The 20,008-nt window shown below is 35.9% G+C and overlaps 1 pseudogene across 1 annotated transcript in view; it reads left to right on the top strand.

Annotated features, from left to right (window-relative positions):
* The window catches only part of GUSBP16 (GUSB pseudogene 16), a 153,001-nt pseudogene that overhangs the window by 11,944 nt on the left and 121,049 nt on the right, over positions 1-20,008 (top strand). Inside the window, exons 2-3 of the transcript NR_146391.1 lie at positions 17,845-17,878; positions 19,345-19,500. The product of NR_146391.1 is annotated as a GUSB pseudogene 16 (transcript). The remainder of the gene's footprint in view (positions 1-17,844; positions 17,879-19,344; positions 19,501-20,008) is intronic.

The following is a 20,008-nucleotide window of genomic DNA, read 5'->3' on the forward strand; positions in this document are numbered from 1 at the left end:
GCCATTGAAATGTAATGAAAGTCATCAAAGTTTTAGGCACTAACTATAAGTTGCAAGGAGTTAAACAATTGTAAGCAGTCCGATTATTAAAAAAATATGTGCCTGATTCTCAAAATCACAAGTATTCTTTAAGATTGCTAACCGTAGTAGTCAGTTTTCACAATGATATAAAGAATGACTTGAGACTGAGTAATTTATGAAGAAAAGAGATTTAATTGATTCATAGTTCTTCAGGCTTTACAGGAAGCATGAATGGGAGGACTCAGGAAACTCAGAAAATCATGGTGGAAGGCAAAGGGGAAACAAGGTTCTTCTTGACATGGCACCAGGAGAGAGAGAGCACAAGGAGGGAAGTGCCACACACTTTTAAACCATCAGATCTCTTGGAACTCACTCACTATCATGAGAATAGCATGTGGAAATCTGCTCCCATGATCCAGTCACCTCCACCCAGGCCCCTCTCTTGACATGAGAGGATTACAATTTGAGATGAGATTTGGGTGGGGACAGAGGGCCAAGCTATATTATTTCTCCTCTGGCCCCTCCCAAGTATCATGTCCTTCTCACATTTCAAAACCAATCATGCCTTCCCAACAGACTGGAAGTCTTAACTTATTCCAGCATTAACTCAAAAGTCCATGTCCAAAGTTTCATCTGAGACAAGGCAAATCGCTTCTGCCTATAAGCCTGTAAAATCAAAAACAAGTTAGTTAATTTCAAGACAACAGTGGGGGTACAGGGATCAGGTAAACACTCCAATTCCGTAAGGGAGAAATTAGCCAAAACAAAGGGTCTGCAGGCCCCATGCAAGTCCAAAACCCGACAAGGCAGTCATTAAATCTTAAGGCTCTGAAACAATCTTCTTTGACCTCATCTCTCACGTCCAGAGCATACTGATGCAATATCTGGGCTCCCATGAGCTTTGACAGCTCTGCCTCTGTGGCTCTGCAAGGCACAGCCCCCACAGCTGCTTTCACAGGCTAGGATTGAGTGCCTGTGACTTTTCCAGGCACACTGTGCAAGCTGTCAGTGGATCTACCATTCTGGGGTCTGAAGCACTATGACCCTCTTCTCAAAGCTCCAGTAGGGAGTGCCCCAGTGGGGAATCTGTGTGGGGGCTCCAACCCCACATTTTCCCTCTGCACTGCCCTAGTAGAGGTTCTCCATAAGGGCTCCACTTCTGCAGCAGACTTTTGCCTAGACATCCAGGCATTTCCATACATCCTCTGAAATCTAGATGGAGGTTCCCAAACCTCACCTCTTCCCTTCTGCACAACCACAGGCCCAGCCTCATGTGGAAGCCACCAAAGCTTGAGGCTTGTATTCTCTGAAGCAATGGCCTGAGTAGTGCCTTGGACCCTTTTAGCCACAGTTGGAGCTGAGCAGCTGGAACACTGGGCACCATGTCCCGAGGCTGCCCAGAGCAGCAGGGCCCTGGGCCCATCCCACTAAACAATTTCTCCCTCCTAGGCCTCCAGGCTTATAATGGGAGGGGCTGCCTCAAAGGTCTCTGAAATGTACTGGAGACGTATTCCACATTGTCTTTGCCATTAACATTTGGCTCCTCTTTACTTATGCAAATTTTTGCTTGAATTTCTCCCAAGAGCGTGGGTTTTTCTTTTTTACTATATGGTTAGGCTGCAAATTTTCCAAACTTTTATGGTCTGCTTTCCTTTTAAATATACGTTTCAGTTTCAAGCCATCTCTTTCTTCATGGACATGAGCATAAACTTTTAGAAGCAGCCAGGCCACATGTTGGAAGGTCTGTTGCTTAGAAATTTGTTTCACCAGATACCCTAAATCATCTCTTTGAAGTTCAACATTACACAGATCTCTAGGGCCGGGTCAAAAGGCTGTCAGTCTCTTTGCTAAAGCATAGCAAGAGTAACTTTTTCTTCAGTTCTCAATGAGTTCCTCATCTCCATCTGAGACCCCCTCAGCCTGGACTTCGTTATCCAAATCATTATCAGCATTTTGTTCACAACCATTCAACAGGTCTCTAGGAAGATTTAAACTTTCCCATATCTCCCTGTCTTCTTCTGAGTCCTCCAAACTGTTTCCTACCTCTGCCTGTTACCCAGTTCCAAAGTTACTTCCATATTTTCAGGTATTTTTATAGCAATGCCCCACTGCTCTGGTACCAATTTTCTGTATCTATCTCTTCTCAAACTGCTATAAAGAACTACTGGGTAATTTATGAGGAAAAGAGGTTTAATTGACTCACAGTTCTGCAAGCTTAACAGGAAGCACGACTGGGAGGCCTCAGGAAACTAACAATCATGGCAGAAGGTAAAGGGGGAGCAGGTGCCTTCTTCACATGGTGTCAGTAGAGAGAAGAGCCGGGGGGAAGTTCCACACACTTTTAAACCATCAGATCTTGTGAGAACTCACTGACTGTCACGAGAACAGTATGGGAAATCCACCCCCATGATCAAATCACCTCCTACCAGACCCCTCCCCTGACACGTGGGGATTACGATTCAACATGAGATTTGTGTGGGGACACAGAGCCAAAGTATATCACTCACCTAATAAGTGCTTATCTTGATTAAATTGTATGGAAAACTACAACTTAAATTATGTGATCAGAAATTCTATCTAATGATAGACATTAATTCAAATGCCACCATGTTCTCCTGTCAGCTTCTCATATATTGTCATGGATATGATTTAATTGTCCTTCAGTGTCATGGAACACATCCTGAGATTCAGCTGATGAAGTTGCAAACTGGATAAATATAAATGATGATGTTTCAAAAAAGAAAATCCTCACTTAGTAAAAAAATGTTAGGTTTATTTTACACTTTCTTGACAGCTGAACTAATATAAAAAGCACTCACCTTGTTTCTTTCAGTTTTGTGTATGTTTTGATTGTGTCAGCTGAGTTCTTCTTCACGGGATTTTCTATGTGTCAGAGACACTTGTCCCCCATTCTGTTTTCCTGTGTAATCTCAAAATTGACAAGGGTCTTCACTGTATGTGAAAAGGATGTCTGTGTTGCTTGATTTTATGTGTGACTACTGTTTGCGATTGTCCTTTTCCCAATATGACATGTAATTTTACAGCACAGATAGTTTTTCAAAAGAATTACATTCCCAGGCTTAGCAGAGGGAGCGGCCTACTTATTGAAATGTGAAATCGAATCTCTGAAACAGAAACACCAAATTATTACACTAATCTGTAAAGTAGCTATAAAACGTTATTTTTCAGAGTGAAGTATCTGTCAAGATGGCTAGTTTTGGTGTATAAAAGAAACGGTATTTTATTCCTTTTATTTCTGTAAACAGATTAAGTCTGTGTGTGTGTGTGTGTGTGTGCGCGCGCGCGTGTGTGTGTGTGTGTACATGGGATATAATACAAATCTACCTCGACTTATAATGAGTTACATCCTGATAACCACAGGCCAAGATGTGTTATGATGGATCTGGATATACTCATAAGTTGAAAATATTTTAGGTAAAAAATGCATTTAGTACATTTAACAAAAATACTGGCAAACCGAGTCCAGCAGCACATCAAAAAGCTTATCCACCAAGATCAAGTTGGCTTCATCCATGGGATGCAAGACTGGTTCAACATACGCAAGTCAATAGATGTAATCCATCACATAAAGAGAACCAAAGACAAAAACCACAAGATTATCTCAATAGATGCGGAAAAGGTCTTTGACAAAATTCAATAGCCCTTCATGCTGAAAACTCTCAATGAACTAGGTATTGATGGAACATATCTCAAAATAATAAGAGCTATATATGACAAACCCGCAGCCAGTATCATACTGAATGGGCAAAAACTGGAAGCTTTCCCTTTGAAAACTAGCAGAAGACAGTGATGCCCTCTCTCACCACTCCTATTCAACATAGTGTTGGAAGTTCTGGCCAGGGCAGTCAGGCAAGAGAAAGAAATAAAGGGCATTCTATTAGGAAAAGAGGAAGTCAAATTGTCCCTGTTTGCAGGTGATATGATTGTATATTTAGAAAACCCCATCATCTCAGCCCAAAATCTCCTTAAGCTGATGAGCAACTTCAGCAAAGTCTCAGGTTACAAAATCAGTGTGCAAAAATCACATGCATTTGTATACACCAATAACAGACAATCAGAGAGCCAAATCATGAGTGAACTCCCATTCACAGTTGCTACAAAGAGAATAAAATACCTAGGAATCCAACTTACAAGGGATGTGAAGGACCTCTTTAAGGAAAACTACAAACCACTGCTCAACGAAATACAAGAGGACACAAACAAATGGAAGAACATTCCATGCTCATGGGTAGGAAGAATCAATATCGTGAAAATGGCCATACTGCCCAAGGTAATTTATAGATTCAATGCCATCCCCATCAAGCTACCAATGACTTTCTTCACAGAATTGGAAAAAACTAAAGTTCATATGGAATCAAAAAAAGAGCCCATATTGCCAAGACAATCCTAAGCAAAAAGAACAAAGCTGGAGGCATCACGCTACCTGACTTCAAACTATACTACAAGGCTACAGTAACAAAAACAGCATTTTACTGGTACCAAAACAGAGATATAGACCAATGGAATGGAACAGAGGCCTCAGAAATAACGCTAAACATTTACAACCATCTGATGTTTGACAAACCTGACAAAAACAAGAAATGGGAAAAGGATTCCCTATTTAATAAATGGTACTGGCTAGCCATATGTAGAAAGCTGAAACTGGATCCCTTCCTTCACCTTATAGAAAAATTAATTCAAGATGGATTAAAGACTTAAATGTTAGACCTAAAACCATAAAAACCCTAGAAGAAAACCTAGGCAATACCATTCAGGACATAGGCATGGGCAAGGACTTCATGTGTAAAACACCAAAAGCAATGGCAACAAAAGCCAAAATAGACAAATGGGGTCTAATTAAACTAAAGAGCTTCTGCACAGCAAAAGAAACTACCATCAGAGCGAACAGGCAACCTACAGAATGGGAGAAAATTTTTCCAATCTACCCATTTGACAAATAGCTAATATCCAGAATCTACAAAGAACTTAAACCAATTTACAAGAAAAAAACAAAGCCATCAAAAAGTGGACAAAGGATATGAACAGACACTTTTCAAAAGAAGACATTTATGCAGCCAACAGACACATGAAAAAATGCTCATCATTACTGGTCATCAGAGAAATGCAAATCAAAACCACAATGAGATAGCATCTCACACCAGTTAGAATGGCGATCATTAAAAAGTCGGGAAACAACAGGTGCTGGAGAGGATGTGGAGAAATAGGAATGCTTTTACACTGTTTGTGGGAGTGTAAACTAGTTCAACCATTGTGGAAGTCAGTGTGGCAATTCCTCAAGTATCTAGAACTAGAAATACCATGTGACCCAGTGATCCCATTACTGGGTATATACCCAAAGCATTATAAATCATGCTGCTATAAAGACACATGCACATGTATGTTTATTGCTGCACTCTTCACAATAGCAAAGACTTGGAACCAACCGAAATGTCCATCAATGATAGACTGGATTAAGAAAATGTGGCATACATACACCATGGAATACTATGCTGGCATAAAAAATGATGAGTTCATGTCCTTTGTAGTGACGTGGATGAAGCTGGAAACCATCATTCTGAGCAAACCTTCGCAAGGACGGAGAACCAAACACCGTGTGTTCTCACTCATAGGTGGGAATTGAACAACGAGAACACTTGGACACAGAGTGGGTAACATCACATGCTGGGGCCTATTGTGGGGTGGGGGGATGGGTAGGGATAGCATTAGGAGAAATACCTAATGTAGATAATGAGTTAATGGGTGCAGCAAACCAACATGGCACATGTATACATATGTAACAAACCTGCAAGTTGTGCACATGTGCCCTAGAACTTAAAGTATTAAAAAAAAATACACTTAAGAAATGTGCTCAGAACACTTACATTAGCCAGTCCAAAAAAAAAATCTAACCTAAAGCCTATTTTTAAATAAAGTGTTGAATATCACATGTAAATTATTAAATACTGAATGTGAAAAACGGAATGGGTATATGGGTAATAAAAGCATTGTTTCTACTGAATGTTTATCACTTTTGTACCATGATGAAGCTGTAAAGTTGTACCATTGTAAATCTGGGACCATCTGTGTTACATTCAAGAGAAAAGCTCAGTCGAACTAATAAATAAATCAAAATTTCTTCTGATTATTTAGGTGTTTTTTCCTGTTAGATAATTAAGACATCCAACTGTTGCTTGCTGCTTCACCACACAGACCATACACAGATACAAATACACACTCCATGAATGAGCATATGTGCTTGTTTAAAGAGACATACTAACCAAACAGTTGTATGCTGCCGTGATATTGATTATGTCATCAAGTTCCTTATTTAACAAAACACAGCTGTGTATGAAGTATTTCTCTAAAATGTACATTCAATAGCAACTGGTTTTGTTCAGTCTTATGTACCCATATTATTTAAATGAGCACCTGGAGTCTAGAATTAACTAAAAAATATCTATGTTGATGCATATTAAGTTGATTTTGAAGTCATAAATTTTGACAAGAATTGATACTATGGCACTGTCATAACTTTACAAAAGATGACCTGAACTAACATGATTTTATGCTTTTACCAGTGGAACTCCCTGAAATATATTCAGATAATTTGTTATTAAAGCAAAACTAAGTTTATTGAAACCCTGTGCCAAGAAAGTACACCATTTTGACATACTTTTGCAGTGTTTCAGCAGGGAAGAGTGAGAGGAAGATTTTTCATGTTTGTGGAGAATGGCTTAAGAGAGTTAAATGAGTCTTTCAAAGTGAGTAGCTGATTGAAATTGAGCTAAACTCAGAGCATAATAGTTTAGATAGTCTAAGAAATTGAAAAAAAAGTTGATGCCAAGCATACAAGAAATAACACCACCAAAAAATAGACCTAAATACAGACAAAATTAGATTAAAAACAAGAATATGTTCAATGTTAATAAAAGCAAAAGGAACATAGACATAGTTATGGAGGAGTTTTGTTTTGTTTTAATAAGATAAAAATATGGTTAGTTTTATAGCAATACACCTGGAAATCTGGATCAATTCTGTCCACTATAGTCATTACTAGTGACATGTAGATATTGAACACTTGAAATATGGTGGATTTGAATTGATTTATGCTATATGTAAAATACAAACTAGATTTAGTTTAAAAAATGTAAAACTGAATAATTTTAATATTGTTTTATGCTGAGATGACAATATTTTGGATATACTGGATTAAATACATATAAAATATTGTTAAAAATCAAGTAGTATAGTAAAATTGGTCTTTTTGTTTTACTTTTTTATTTTGTTTTGGTTTTTGAAGGGATAGAAATCATGGCTAAGATGGACCCTGGGGCATATCATTGACCATCATGAAACATGCACTGATTTGCCAAATGTATTATTTTCCTGTGGCTGTTATAAAAATCACAATACACTTAGTAGTTTAAAACAACATAAATTTATTGTCTAGCAGTATTCCAGGTTAGAAGTTCAACACAGGTCTTACTGATTTAAAATCAAAGCATTGGAAGACTGCATTCCTTCTATAGGCTCTGTGGAATAATCCATGACCTGGCCTTTCCCAGGCTTTAGAATCCAGCTGCATTCTTTGATGCATGTTCCCTGTCTTGGGCAGCTTGGAATACTGTAAGAAAATACCATAGACCGGGTGACTTAAACAACTGACATTTATTTCTCAGAGTTCTGAAAGTTGGGAAGTCCAAGATTAAGGTGCTGGTATATTTGGTTCATGGTGAGGGCCCACTCCCTCTCTGGTTAGTAGATGGCCTCCTTCTCTCTGTGTTCACATGGCCTTTCCTGGATACATGTTTACGGAGAGAGAAAGAGAAGGGTGGTTGGGTGGGAGGTGGTCTAGTATCTCCACCTTTTCTTATAAGAACACTAACATTATCATGAGAACACCACACTTAGGACATTATCTCAACCTAGGTTCCTCCCAAAAGCTCCATCTCCAGATACTATCACACTGCCAATTAATAGATCATTGAAAATAATCTATTAATATTTGAACAATGCCAATCATCTTCAATAGATTAATTTTAGGGAGACACAAATATTCAGTTCATAACAGTTCCTTTCCTTGACCTTCAAAGCTACAAATGAAGGAGCAAGTCTTCACATTCTCCTTTTATATCTCCCTCTTCTACGTGTAAAGAATCTTATGACTGCATTTGGCCATCTAAAAATCTATGATAGTCTCTCCATTTCAAAATCCTTAACTCTAATTGCATTTGCAAAGTCTGTCCTGCCAGGTAAGCTAACAAATTTATAAATTATCTGGATTAGGACCGCATCATCTCTGAAGAGCCATTATTCTGACTACCACATCAGTATGTTAGTTTATGTCAAGATTGCTGTAATAATCAATAGGTTCTGGTACCACAAATCCAGTAGCAGTCATTAAGGTTGATTGAGTTTATTGATTGCTTTCAGCTCCATTCTGCTATTAATCACTTTTGGGGATATAAAATGAAGACCTTATCACATAGAGGAAGAGGTAGATGTGATAGGAGCTTGAATATGTAATAAGAATTTTTTATGATATGTAAATGTGAGAAATGAATTAAGTATGTGCCATTTGTTCTCTTCTTTTTAAGACATTTCTTTCTAAAGGTTTAGTGACAGAAGTTGCATTCTATTAAAGATCCCTAAGTGCTGTTCTGCTGTAGGCATAAGCTTTCTTTCCTGGGTGCAGCATGTTAGGATTTAAGATTTCTATTTATCTAATACTCTGCTGTTTGTCAGATAAAATAACAATAAATAGTGAGTCCAATTATTGATAAACCCAGATGTTTCATATTTAGGAATCGATGTTAAAAAAAAAAAACACTAATTGGCATCCTAAGGAAAATGTGTGCAGCTTAGCACTGATTCAACTGCATGTTTAGCCAAATTGTGAACAAATTACGGCCAGCTTCCGGACTCTTCTAGAGAGTGACTAAGGACGGCATAGAGGAATTAGGAATAGTAGCTTTATAGGTAAAGTAATTAAATGTAACCTTAAGCATAAAAAGATAAAGTTAACTAGGAAAATGAAAACTCAAGATATACAGATTAAATATGACAAACAATGGATCTTTTTTTGTGGATCTTGGTTTGCAGATACCGATATCTCATATAGTGATTCACTTGATCCAAAGGCATTTGATGGAAGCTGTCTTCTCCCAAAGACTATTTGCTTTTGGAAGAATCCTAAGAGTCATTAGTTAGAAGTTTTTGGTAGGGATACTTTCCTGTAATATGAAGATGACCTAAACCTCTTTACTTGAGAGATAGGAATCAAAGGATCAGTCTTTTAAAGACTATGGGTTTGCTAGTTGTTAGCTGTGCCTGATAGTGACTTTTTTCCTATGATCTTTCCCTGCCGTGTCTCTTAGAAGACAAGGTATCCAGGTATGAAAACCAATTTTGCAGACATTGTTTAGGATACTAATGGGGAAAGTCTTCAGTAACTTTTGTTGAAAGAATGGATTTCCTGAGTCCTTACAGCATTTAGTTAAATAAGTGTAGATTTCTAGAATCAGAGCTAATATTCCTAGACACTTGGTTTAGCTGTTACTAACTCATGAACCACAGAAAGAAGAAATGCCTTAGACCATGCAAGTTTGACGATGTCTGTGAACTTTACCAACTTTAGTTTCAGAATTCCATCTTTCTACCTTCCCAAAAGGTTGAAAGTGATATGGACAGTGAAGTCTGATTAATTGACAGAACTTTTCCATGTTAATAAAAATTCCGGTAAAATGGTTTCCTTGTTACTAGAGATATAGTTTGGGATTCCCCAGGCTGAAAAAAAAAAAAAGGATTTTCTCCATGCCAACAAGAGACAAATAATGATCAGAACATATTTAAAATCTATTGCCAGCACTTGTTATGAAAAATTCATTTAGATTTTTACTGAGACATTTTACAGTTTTGTTAGGATTAATCTGACGAAGGTTGAGACAAGTTGTAAGGATATAGTTATATAAAGATATACTTACCAATTTTAGCAAAATTTTCCTCCAGCTATTGGTTAAATACATTGGTCAATTTGTCCTCATTGTGCCAGAAAAGCTCAGCAGTTCTGACTAAAGTTTATGTTAACCCATTGCCAGTAGAATGAAAGAGTTGAATCCTCTCTTAAATTATAATATATAGTTGACTCCTCAACAACACAGGTTTGAACTGTGCAGGTCTGCTCATATGTAGATTTTTTCCTATAAATATATTAGAAAATTTTTGGAGATTTATGAAAAATTGAAAAAGATAACAGGTGACCCATCTACACAAGAAATATTAAAAAACTAAGAAAACGATGTCATGAATGCATAAATCATATGTAGATACTAGTGATCATTTAATACAATGAGATATATATGCGTCTATTATAAAAAGTTAAAATTTATCAAGACGTAGGCAAACACAGAGCATACATGCAGCCAATTGAAGTTTAGAGAAAAGTAAAACAAAAATATACAAAAGTAAATCATAACTGCACAAAATTAACTGTAGTACATACTGTACTACTGGGATAATTTCCTAGCCTCCACCTGTTGTTCTTGCAGTGAACTCAAGTGTTGTGAGTATTCACTTAAAATGCCACATAATGCTAATCATCTTCTTGTGAGTAGCTTGTCTCTCCAGTAAATTAACACAGTAAAAAGTGTTCTCTCATGTTTCTCCTGTATTATTCATGATGTCTAGTGCAATACCATAAACCTTGAATAACACCTTCAGACCTATAAAAAGTGCTGCTAGTGATGCTGAAAGTTCTTCCAGGAAACAGAGAAGGGTCCTGACATTACAGGAAAACAATGAATTGCTTGATAGGTACCCTAGATTGAGGCCTGCAGCTGTGTGTGCTGCCATTTCAGAAGAAGGATCCATCTTGTAAACACGGGATTGTAAACTTATGAGAGAAATAAATATACTGTAGTACTGTAAACGTATTTTTTCTTCCCTATAATTTTCTTAATAACACTTTCTTTTCTGTAACTAGCTTCATTGTAAAACTACGGTGTAAAATACATACAGCGTATGAAATATGTGTTAAGGATTGTCCAGTCAACAGTAGGCTGTTAGTTTAGTTTTGGGGAGTCCAAAGTTATATGTGAATTTTTGACTGTGCTGGGGTGGTGGGGAGGGGTTAGGGAGGTTTGATGGCCCTAAACCTTGTGTTTTTCAGGAGTCAACTGTACAATTTAGAAGAATATGATTTAGAATTTCCCTGAGATTAAGAACATATTAAATGGTGGGAAGGATATTGATAGACCTCTAGATCTAGTGACACTATCAACTTTGACTGTGTCTGTTTGATGAAGGAATTAAAATCTAGTAACAAAAGCATTTTGTAGATAGTTATTGTACCAGTCTTTGTTCTTGAACATCAGTGTGTTTTTTTGAACTGAAAATCACACATTGAATGAAAGGCTTCATCTCAATATATTTTATTTACACATAAATTTGAGCTGTTTTTTGTTCACAAGTTTGGCCGATAAAAGAGCCCTCACAATAGCTTTAATTACCATTTAAAATTACAAATTAATGTGATTTTTTAATTTTTCTCTCTTTTGTAGGGTGAAGGAGCAATGCTTTTGGTTACTCAGTATTCTCTCAAGAAAATTTAAAGATAGTTTATACATAGAAGATATTTTAACAGGCTATATTCTGAACTTGTGGCCCGGATTTGGAAAAAGCAATATATCAAGTATGGTTCAAGGGGACAAGAAAGAGAGAAGCATTTGTTACCATTTTTCCAAGTCAAAAATATTTAATCAGATAATATTTTAAAAGCCAGCAATAATTAGTAATGATTGGTATAATGTTTTTGTCAAAATTATTAAATAGGAGATAAAATTAAAAGCTTTATTTTTTTGCATTCAAATAAAATTTTAAGTATTTTGATGAGCATATTAAATCAACAATGCATGTATTACATTGAACCTGACTTCTTAATAAGTTGCAACCAAATCTTTAATGATAAGTTTAGGTCAGAGAGATAATTTTGAGATTTGTCACCATAAAGATAGGGTATAATGTGATGTAAATAATTAAGATCAGGTGGAAAGACAAATAAGATTGAAGGAAGACCCAAGACCAAGGTTTGAGGCACTCTCAGAAGTTCTAAAAAAAAAATTTAGACTATGAGTAAAGAAGGATTGATCAGCAAGGTGAAATGGATCAAGGAAATGTGGGCACTCAGAGGTACAGAGGGGTTAATTGCTGCTCAGAAAATACTCAGACGAATGCTGAACAATAGATTAGATAGAACCGATGTCCTAGAAATCATGAAGATAAGTGACTTTATTAAAATACATATTATAAACAAAGAAGGAATTTACTGTTCGAAAAGTTGTCTTGAAGAATTGTTTTGGGAGAAAATAAAAAATAAACCTTATTTTCTAAAATACACTAAAACTAATTCCAAATGAGTCAAAGGATTGTGTACAGATATTTTAAATTAATAAAACAATGTTAGTGCAGATTCTCTTTAATTACTTCCCTGATTGTTTTACCTATAGTAACTCATTTAATTCTACTAGCAATCTTTTCATGTTGGATACAGCTATTCAAATTTTCTTTTGTTATTGCAATAGCCTCCTAACCATTCTTCCACAAAATTGAGGCACTAAAAGGTTGTGAAATTTCCTCTATGCCACAGAGCTTTTTAGTGATGATTTGGCATTTGGAAGCACATCTTTGAAATGTTCGTTTTTCTCTGATGGCCAGTGATGGTGAGCATTTCTTCATGTGTTTTTTGGCTGCATAAATATCTTCTTTTGAGAAGTGTCTGTTCATGTCCTTCGCCCACTTTTTGATGGGGTTGTTTGTTTTTTTCTTGTAAATTTGTTTGAGTTCATTGTAGATTCTGGATATTAGCCCTTTGTCAGATGAGTAGATTGTGAAAATTTTCTCCCATTCTGTAGGCTGCCTGTTCACTGTGATGGTAGTTTCTTTTGCTGTGCAGAAGCTCTTTAGTTTAATTAGATCCCATTTGTCAATTTTGGCTTTTGTTGCCATTGCTTTTGGTGTTTTAGACATGAAGTCCTTGCCCACGCCTGTGTCCTGAATGGTAATGCGTAGGTTTTCTTCTAGGGTTTTTATGGTTTTAGGTCTAACGTTTAAGTCTTTAATCCATCTTGAATTAATTTTTGTATAAGGTGTAAGGAAGGGATCCAGTTTCAGCTTTCTCCATATGGCTAGCCAGTTTTCCCAGCACCATTTATTAAATAGGGAATCCTTTCCCCATTGCTTATTTTTCTCAGGTTTGTCAAAGATGAGATAGTTGTAGATATGCGGCGTTATTTCTGAGGGCTCTGTTCTGTTCCATTGATCTATATCTCTGTTTTGGTACCAGTACCGTGCTGTTTTGGTTACTGTAGCCTTGTAGTATAGTTTGAAGTCAGGTAGCGTGATGCCTCCAGCTTTGTTCGTTTGGCTTAGGATTGACTTGGCAACGCGGGCTCTTTTTTGGTTCCATACGAACTTTAAAGTAGTTATTTCCAATTCTGTAAAGAAAGTCATTGGTAGCTTGATGGGGATGGCATTGAATCTATAAATTACCTTGGGCAGTATGGCCATTTTCACGATATTGATTCTTCCTACCCATGAGCATGGAATGTTCTTCTATTTCTTTGTATCCTCTTTTATTTCATTGAGCAGTGGTTTGTAGTTCTTCTTGAAGAGGTCCTTCCCATCCCTTGTAAGTTGGATTCCTAGGTATTTTATTCTCTTTGAAGCAATTGTGAATGGGAGTTCACTCATGATTTGGCTCTCTGACTGTCTGTTATTGGTGTATACAAATGCGTGTGATTTTTGTACATTGATTTTGTAACCTGAGACTTTGCTGAAGTTGCTCATCAGCTTAAGGAGATTTTGGGCTGAGACAATGGGGTTTTCTAGATATACAATCGTGTCATCTGCAAACAGGGACAATTTGACTTCCTCTTTTCCTAATTGAATACCCTTTCTTTCCTTCTCCTGCCTAATTGCCCTGGCCAGAACTTCCAACACTATGTTGAATAGGAGTGGTGAGAGAGGACAAATCAAAACCACAGTGAGATACCATCTCACACCAGTTAGAATGGCAATCATTAAAACGTCAGGAAACAACAGGTGCTGCAGAAGATGTGGAGAAATAGGAACACTTTTCCACTGTTGGTGGGACTGTAAACTAGTTCAACCATTGTGGAAGTCAGTGTGGCGATTCCTCAGGGATCTAGAACTAGAAATACCATTTGACCCAGCCATCCCATTACTGGGTATATACCCAAAGGACTATAAATCATGCTGCTATAAAGACACATGCACACGTATGTTTATTGCGGCACTATTCACAATAGCAAAGACTTGGAACCGACCCAAATGTCCAACAATGATAGACTGGATTAAGAAAATGTGGCACATATGCACCATGGAATACTGTGCAGCCATAAAAAATGATGAGTTCATGTCCTTTGTAGGGACATGGATGAAATTGGAAATCATCATTCTCAGTAAACTATCGCAAGGACAAAAACCCTAAGACCGCATGTTCTCACTCATAGGTGGGAATTGAACAATGAGAACACATGGACACAGGAAGGGGAACACCACACGCTGGGGACTGTTGTGGGGTGGGGGAAGGGGGGAGGGAAAGCATTAGGAGATATATCTAATGCTAAATGACGAGTTAATGGGTGCAGCACACCAGCATGGCACATGTATACATATGTAACTAACCTGCACATTGTGCACATGTACCCTAAAACTTGAAATATAATAATAATAAAATTTAAAAAAAATGTTCATTTTTAATTATAGCACTACACCATGCACTGAATCACGGAGGGTAAAAATGCACACTGTTAATAAGAAGGAGGGAGTCAATCTCATTAGTATTATAATATTTATACTGAATGAGACTCCATTCCCGAAATTCACAGAATTAAAATAATAAAAATAAAAATTTATTGCTAGCCAATTTGCAGCAAAAAAGATTCATTCTCATATTCTGCTATGAGAAAATAAATGAAATTGAATTTTAAAAGACATTTTTGGAAAGCCCTTTGAATTAACCAGAAAATTGTTAAATTCGTAGTTTTTTTGACTAACATTCTTCTTCCACGTTAACAGAATTTATATATAAGTGACACTCATTGCATATACTTTTAAGGGGTAAAATAATTACTAAATTTATGTACACTATTAATACTTCATTGTATAAAATTGCATATATACCCATATGCAAATGTGCACAGAATCAATAGGGTAACCATAGACATAAAATGATCAGTGCAGGATATTTTATTTATGCATTTTATATATAATATACTTTTCATTTAATATTTTTGCTAATTTTATTGAATTGAATATTTATGCCTTGGTTATAGAACAACTAAATTTATTTTCAAAGAAACTCCATTATTATTGTCTGCAAGAGTAAAACTTATAAACAATCTAAAAATTCAACCAAATACAACCATTTACAATTGTGCCCTAGTTGAATTTGTAATCGTAGGAGAAAACACAGGTGTTGAATTTTTTGAATTTCATTTAAAAAATAATTGACACAATCCCTAAGGTATCATATAAATTAATTGAATTGTTATTGTCTTGGGTTAACATTTATTTCTAGAGTTTTTTTTCCCCTAATATCTGATTTTTTCCATTAACATTACTTATTTGGATAATCAGAAAAAAATCAACATTGCCAAAAGATAGATAATACCACAAGCGAAATATCTATGATAATGATAGGAAAATGCTTTGAATTCAGGCTGAATGAGAATTAGTCTAGGAAAACAGCTTGGACCCTCTCATTCCTGTTAATGTCATCTCTGTGTTTAGCACTGCTGCTATTCCTCAGCTACTAAGAAATGCTCTATTGCTGGGCATGGCATATGGGAAGCCAAGAAAAATGACTGGCTGCTTGGTGACAGCTCTCTAGTCCTCATGCCAAGTTCTGCCAGTGATTTAAATATTAAGTAATGGAAAGAATTTTGAAATCCAGGATGATTAGAAAAGTCATTTTCTACAAAAGTGAAGCATTGTCTTTAGAGATTAAAATCTATGAAAATAACATTATTGAAATACTAGACTTCAGACTATTTTTCTGAATTACTGTAACTGTTGAAATAGGTCTTTCAGCCCATTAAGATAAACACCACACTTTTCTCTTCATGATCTCCAGCTGTAATTTTATAGTGAAAGGTGCTTGCATAAAAGAGTTCACACTATCTGAAAGATGTCACATGTAACATTGACTGGCAGCCATTTCAGAATGGCAGACAGCCAATAAATCATTCAGAACTATGTGTCACTCGTTGTGGCTTTAAAATTGTATTCCTTCTCCTTTGATAAAGAACATTTCAATGTCAAATAGTTTGTTCTATTTAAACTTATACATCAACCAGAATATTGAGATACACAATAAAATTAAATGATTTGGTAATACCTTTAGAATTTATCTAAAAACAGCCGTATGTATTTGCATGACAGATTTGGTTCACAAACCGATCAAGTTGTTAGTATCAAAGGCATGTTTTAGTGCTGATTTGTGTATAGATAAATTTAGGAAATTACATAAATAGAAATACTTCTTTATAAAATTCCTTGACCTTGTGATATCTTGGTATTAAGAATCTTAAAGGAATCATTTAAAAAAATTCAAAAGCAAACAATTTCGATTTTACAAGAGCTAAGAAAAAAACATTTTGCTATGGACACAGATCGCTCTTCAAGAAAAGATTTCTTTCCCCCTTGGCTGCTAGGAGCAATATTACAAAGCAGCCTTCAGCTCTCAGCTCCTTCAAAGTTTGCCTCAGCTGTAACCATTGTCTGGCTCAATGTTAGGGCATCCTGGAGCACTGGACATGCAAACACGAATGGAGATGAGGTTATAAAGCCTGGCCATTTTGACCCACCTGAGAGGATTCTGACAGGTCCTTCCAGTGCCTGAGAAACCCAGGGCTCACATGCTTTATATTCTGATCATTCTGTAGGGGTTGTTCCCATGGGTGATAGAAGCTGCCAAATATAAAGAGGCAACCATGCAAATTTTTAGGAATTATTTCCAAAACTCTCATAACAACATCATATATATTTATTGGTTGTTTAAGTAGATTTCTGAGGAGTAGATAGCAACGATAGAAGTGAAAGAAAGTAAATGCAGTTGTTAAAGGATTAGTCTTCCCATACTTAGAAAGTACACAAGTTGCATATACACTATGTTCCTTCCCTAGAGCAAGTATTTCAATGCAGTCATGTGTGTGTGTTTGTGTGCTTGTGTGTGTGTGGTGTGTGTGTGTGTGTGTGTATGCTAACTGAACTCATTATAGATTTTATTGGATCAGATATATGAAGAGACTTGGAAGACTTGGGTTTGTCTGGAACTGGGTGAAATAGAGAAGGACGATCATTGACATAGAAAGCTGATTACTTTGTCCTTTGAGTATAAATAGTCTTACAATAAAATGGCATCTCCACTGTCTAAAACACATTTTTACATTTGCTCTCCTTCTGAAATTATTTATGTGAAATTAACAAATGTACTTATTACCTTAGAAACAAACGATCCGTAATTTATATTATTTATTGTATATTTGTAGATCCACTTAAAATTGATTTGCAATATAAGGAAAAAATGCGTTTTATAAGTTGTTTGCTTTGTGTAGTGCATCTTGTTAACCGTAGGACTACTGTTGCATTGAAACAAAATAGAATTAATCTGTTCAGGTAAATAGAACTGGAAGTGAGATTTGTTGTCACTCCTTCTCCTTCAAGTACTGACCAGTCTTTTAATTCACACATAACTAACACTCTGTGCAATAATATTTTTTTGTTCTCTGTCTTTTCAAACAGAACTCAAGCTCCATGAGGAGATGTTTCATTGTCGGTGAGCACATTCTTGTCAATTAGTTCCTTCTTGTTTCTTACTATAGCCCCTGTGTCTAGAACCTTTCCAGGTATTCAGTAGCCATTTAAAAATTATTTGTTGAATGAATTGTTATTTTAAAGAACATCCACAAGTTTTGCCTGACTGGGCATGGGAATACATGCCCATCTTTGGACTGAATGTCCATTTTTCCCTTCTTTGATTTATCAAAATATTGGTTAAATGATCAGGACTACCGTCAGAAGGAATTTTATATCTAAAAATAGTTTACCTTCTATGGATGTAAAAAATAGTTGTAGTAGTTCTGGCTTTTATATTATTCGATGTTTCAAAGCGGTTTTTTTTTTCCATCACCATATTCTACGTTCTTGAAAAGTACTCGTTCATGTGACTGCTATCATTTATGCTTGTGCATCACGTAGATACAGGAGAGAAGATAAGGAAAATGCTTACCCTGTGTCTCCTTCCCTGTAACACAGTTTTTTTTACCATATTGATTCTCCACTTTCTACTCCCTAAGTAAAATTTTGCAACAGGCATTTGGGAAACTCTGGATACAAGAAAAAAATTTTAATATTGTACAAAGAGACAAGAGGTGACTTCTTTTTTATTTTTCATTTAGAGTTTATAGTTTAATTAAAGAAAATGCACATATATCTAAAGATAATCATGGATAATACACTCATGTAATTACTACTTTCAGTGGTTGTAACAACAGCCAAAGCACAAACAGAAATGAGAAAGAATTATCAGCATTATGCAAGTACATATCCTCTTTAAGAATTCCTGTTATAGTGAAAGCATTAAAATAATTGAACACGTACAGAGACCATATACTTTGTGATCTTTTTAAAAAAGTATTCAAAATATATTTCTGTGTGCAAAACATTTTCATAATGGTCTTGTTTAAATGAAAGTATTTAGAATAGCACATTGTAAAATTATGCTGCAGAGCACAAGTATTTTTCTCTTTAGAAGACACATAATAAAATAGAATCATCAGTGTTTTTTCATAAACATGAATCTTTAGAGTGTTACTTGATCCTGCATAATAAGGGTACTTTTTTGCTTAATGTAAGCATAGTATACTAATTCTTTTAAACTTCAGAAAGCATATTTACAGTCTAGGCAGATGGGACATGAAGGTCACACAGCATGAGCAGTGAAATATCTCATTTACCTAGAGTTCTAGAGAGAATTTTAGGAACTCTTATTTATTATCAGTGCATAAACAAGAGTAAACTCTACAAAACTGTTTGCAAAACTCTCCTCTTTCTACTCAGAAGGCTTTCCCTAGAATAATCATTATGGAGTCTGTCCATCCTTTACTCATTCACTGCATGGGGACAGGTGTTAGTTATGAGATTGGTGAATTTAGAAAGCTAACCAATTTCATACCTATTTTGGGATTCTCAATTCACAAACTTTTGTGCGTTTCTTAATTATTTCCTTTCTTTTTCTTGTAGAGAGCAGTCATGATGGCCTGCACTCCACACAATGCAACAGAGTGAAAGAGCAGGTTCTGCTTCTTTGGTGTAGTCCTGAAGCTTCCTAAGAAACTTCACATCAGGTGATGGATAGGAGCAACCCTGTAAAACCAGCCTTAGACTATTTTTCAAACAGTAAGTAATAAAGGTGACGTTTTGATCTTTATCTGCTTAATTACTTCTGCTATGATTCTATTGATTCTAACATTGAAGGAGCAGTAAATTTATATGTATTATCCAACTATAAAACAATAAATAAACGATATGTCAAATACATTATCACATCCTTATGTTCTTATGATAATATTGTCCTTTTTTTAACAGTTTTTATTCTTATTTGTTGATTGGTTTGTCTTTATGTTGTCCTTTCTACTATCAAACTGAACATGTTGAGGTCATAGGCTATCAAAACTGTACATTTCTGATGCTAACCATAGAGACTTAACAACAGTAAATAGGCCAAAATGGAATGTTGTTAGCCATAGTGTGTATTATTATTTCTTTTATACATGTGGTCACTGTTAGAGGAGTTTATGACTTTTTGCCTAGATTAATGACACACAAACCATCTACAAACGAATCATACCTTATTCCCTCACTGTAATTTTTAATGTTGCTATTTTTGCCTGTTAACATTCCATAG

The sequence above is a fragment of the Homo sapiens genome, chromosome 5 (assembly GCF_000001405.40).
Source record: "Homo sapiens chromosome 5, GRCh38.p14 Primary Assembly".
NCBI lineage: Eukaryota > Metazoa > Chordata > Mammalia > Primates > Hominidae > Homo > Homo sapiens.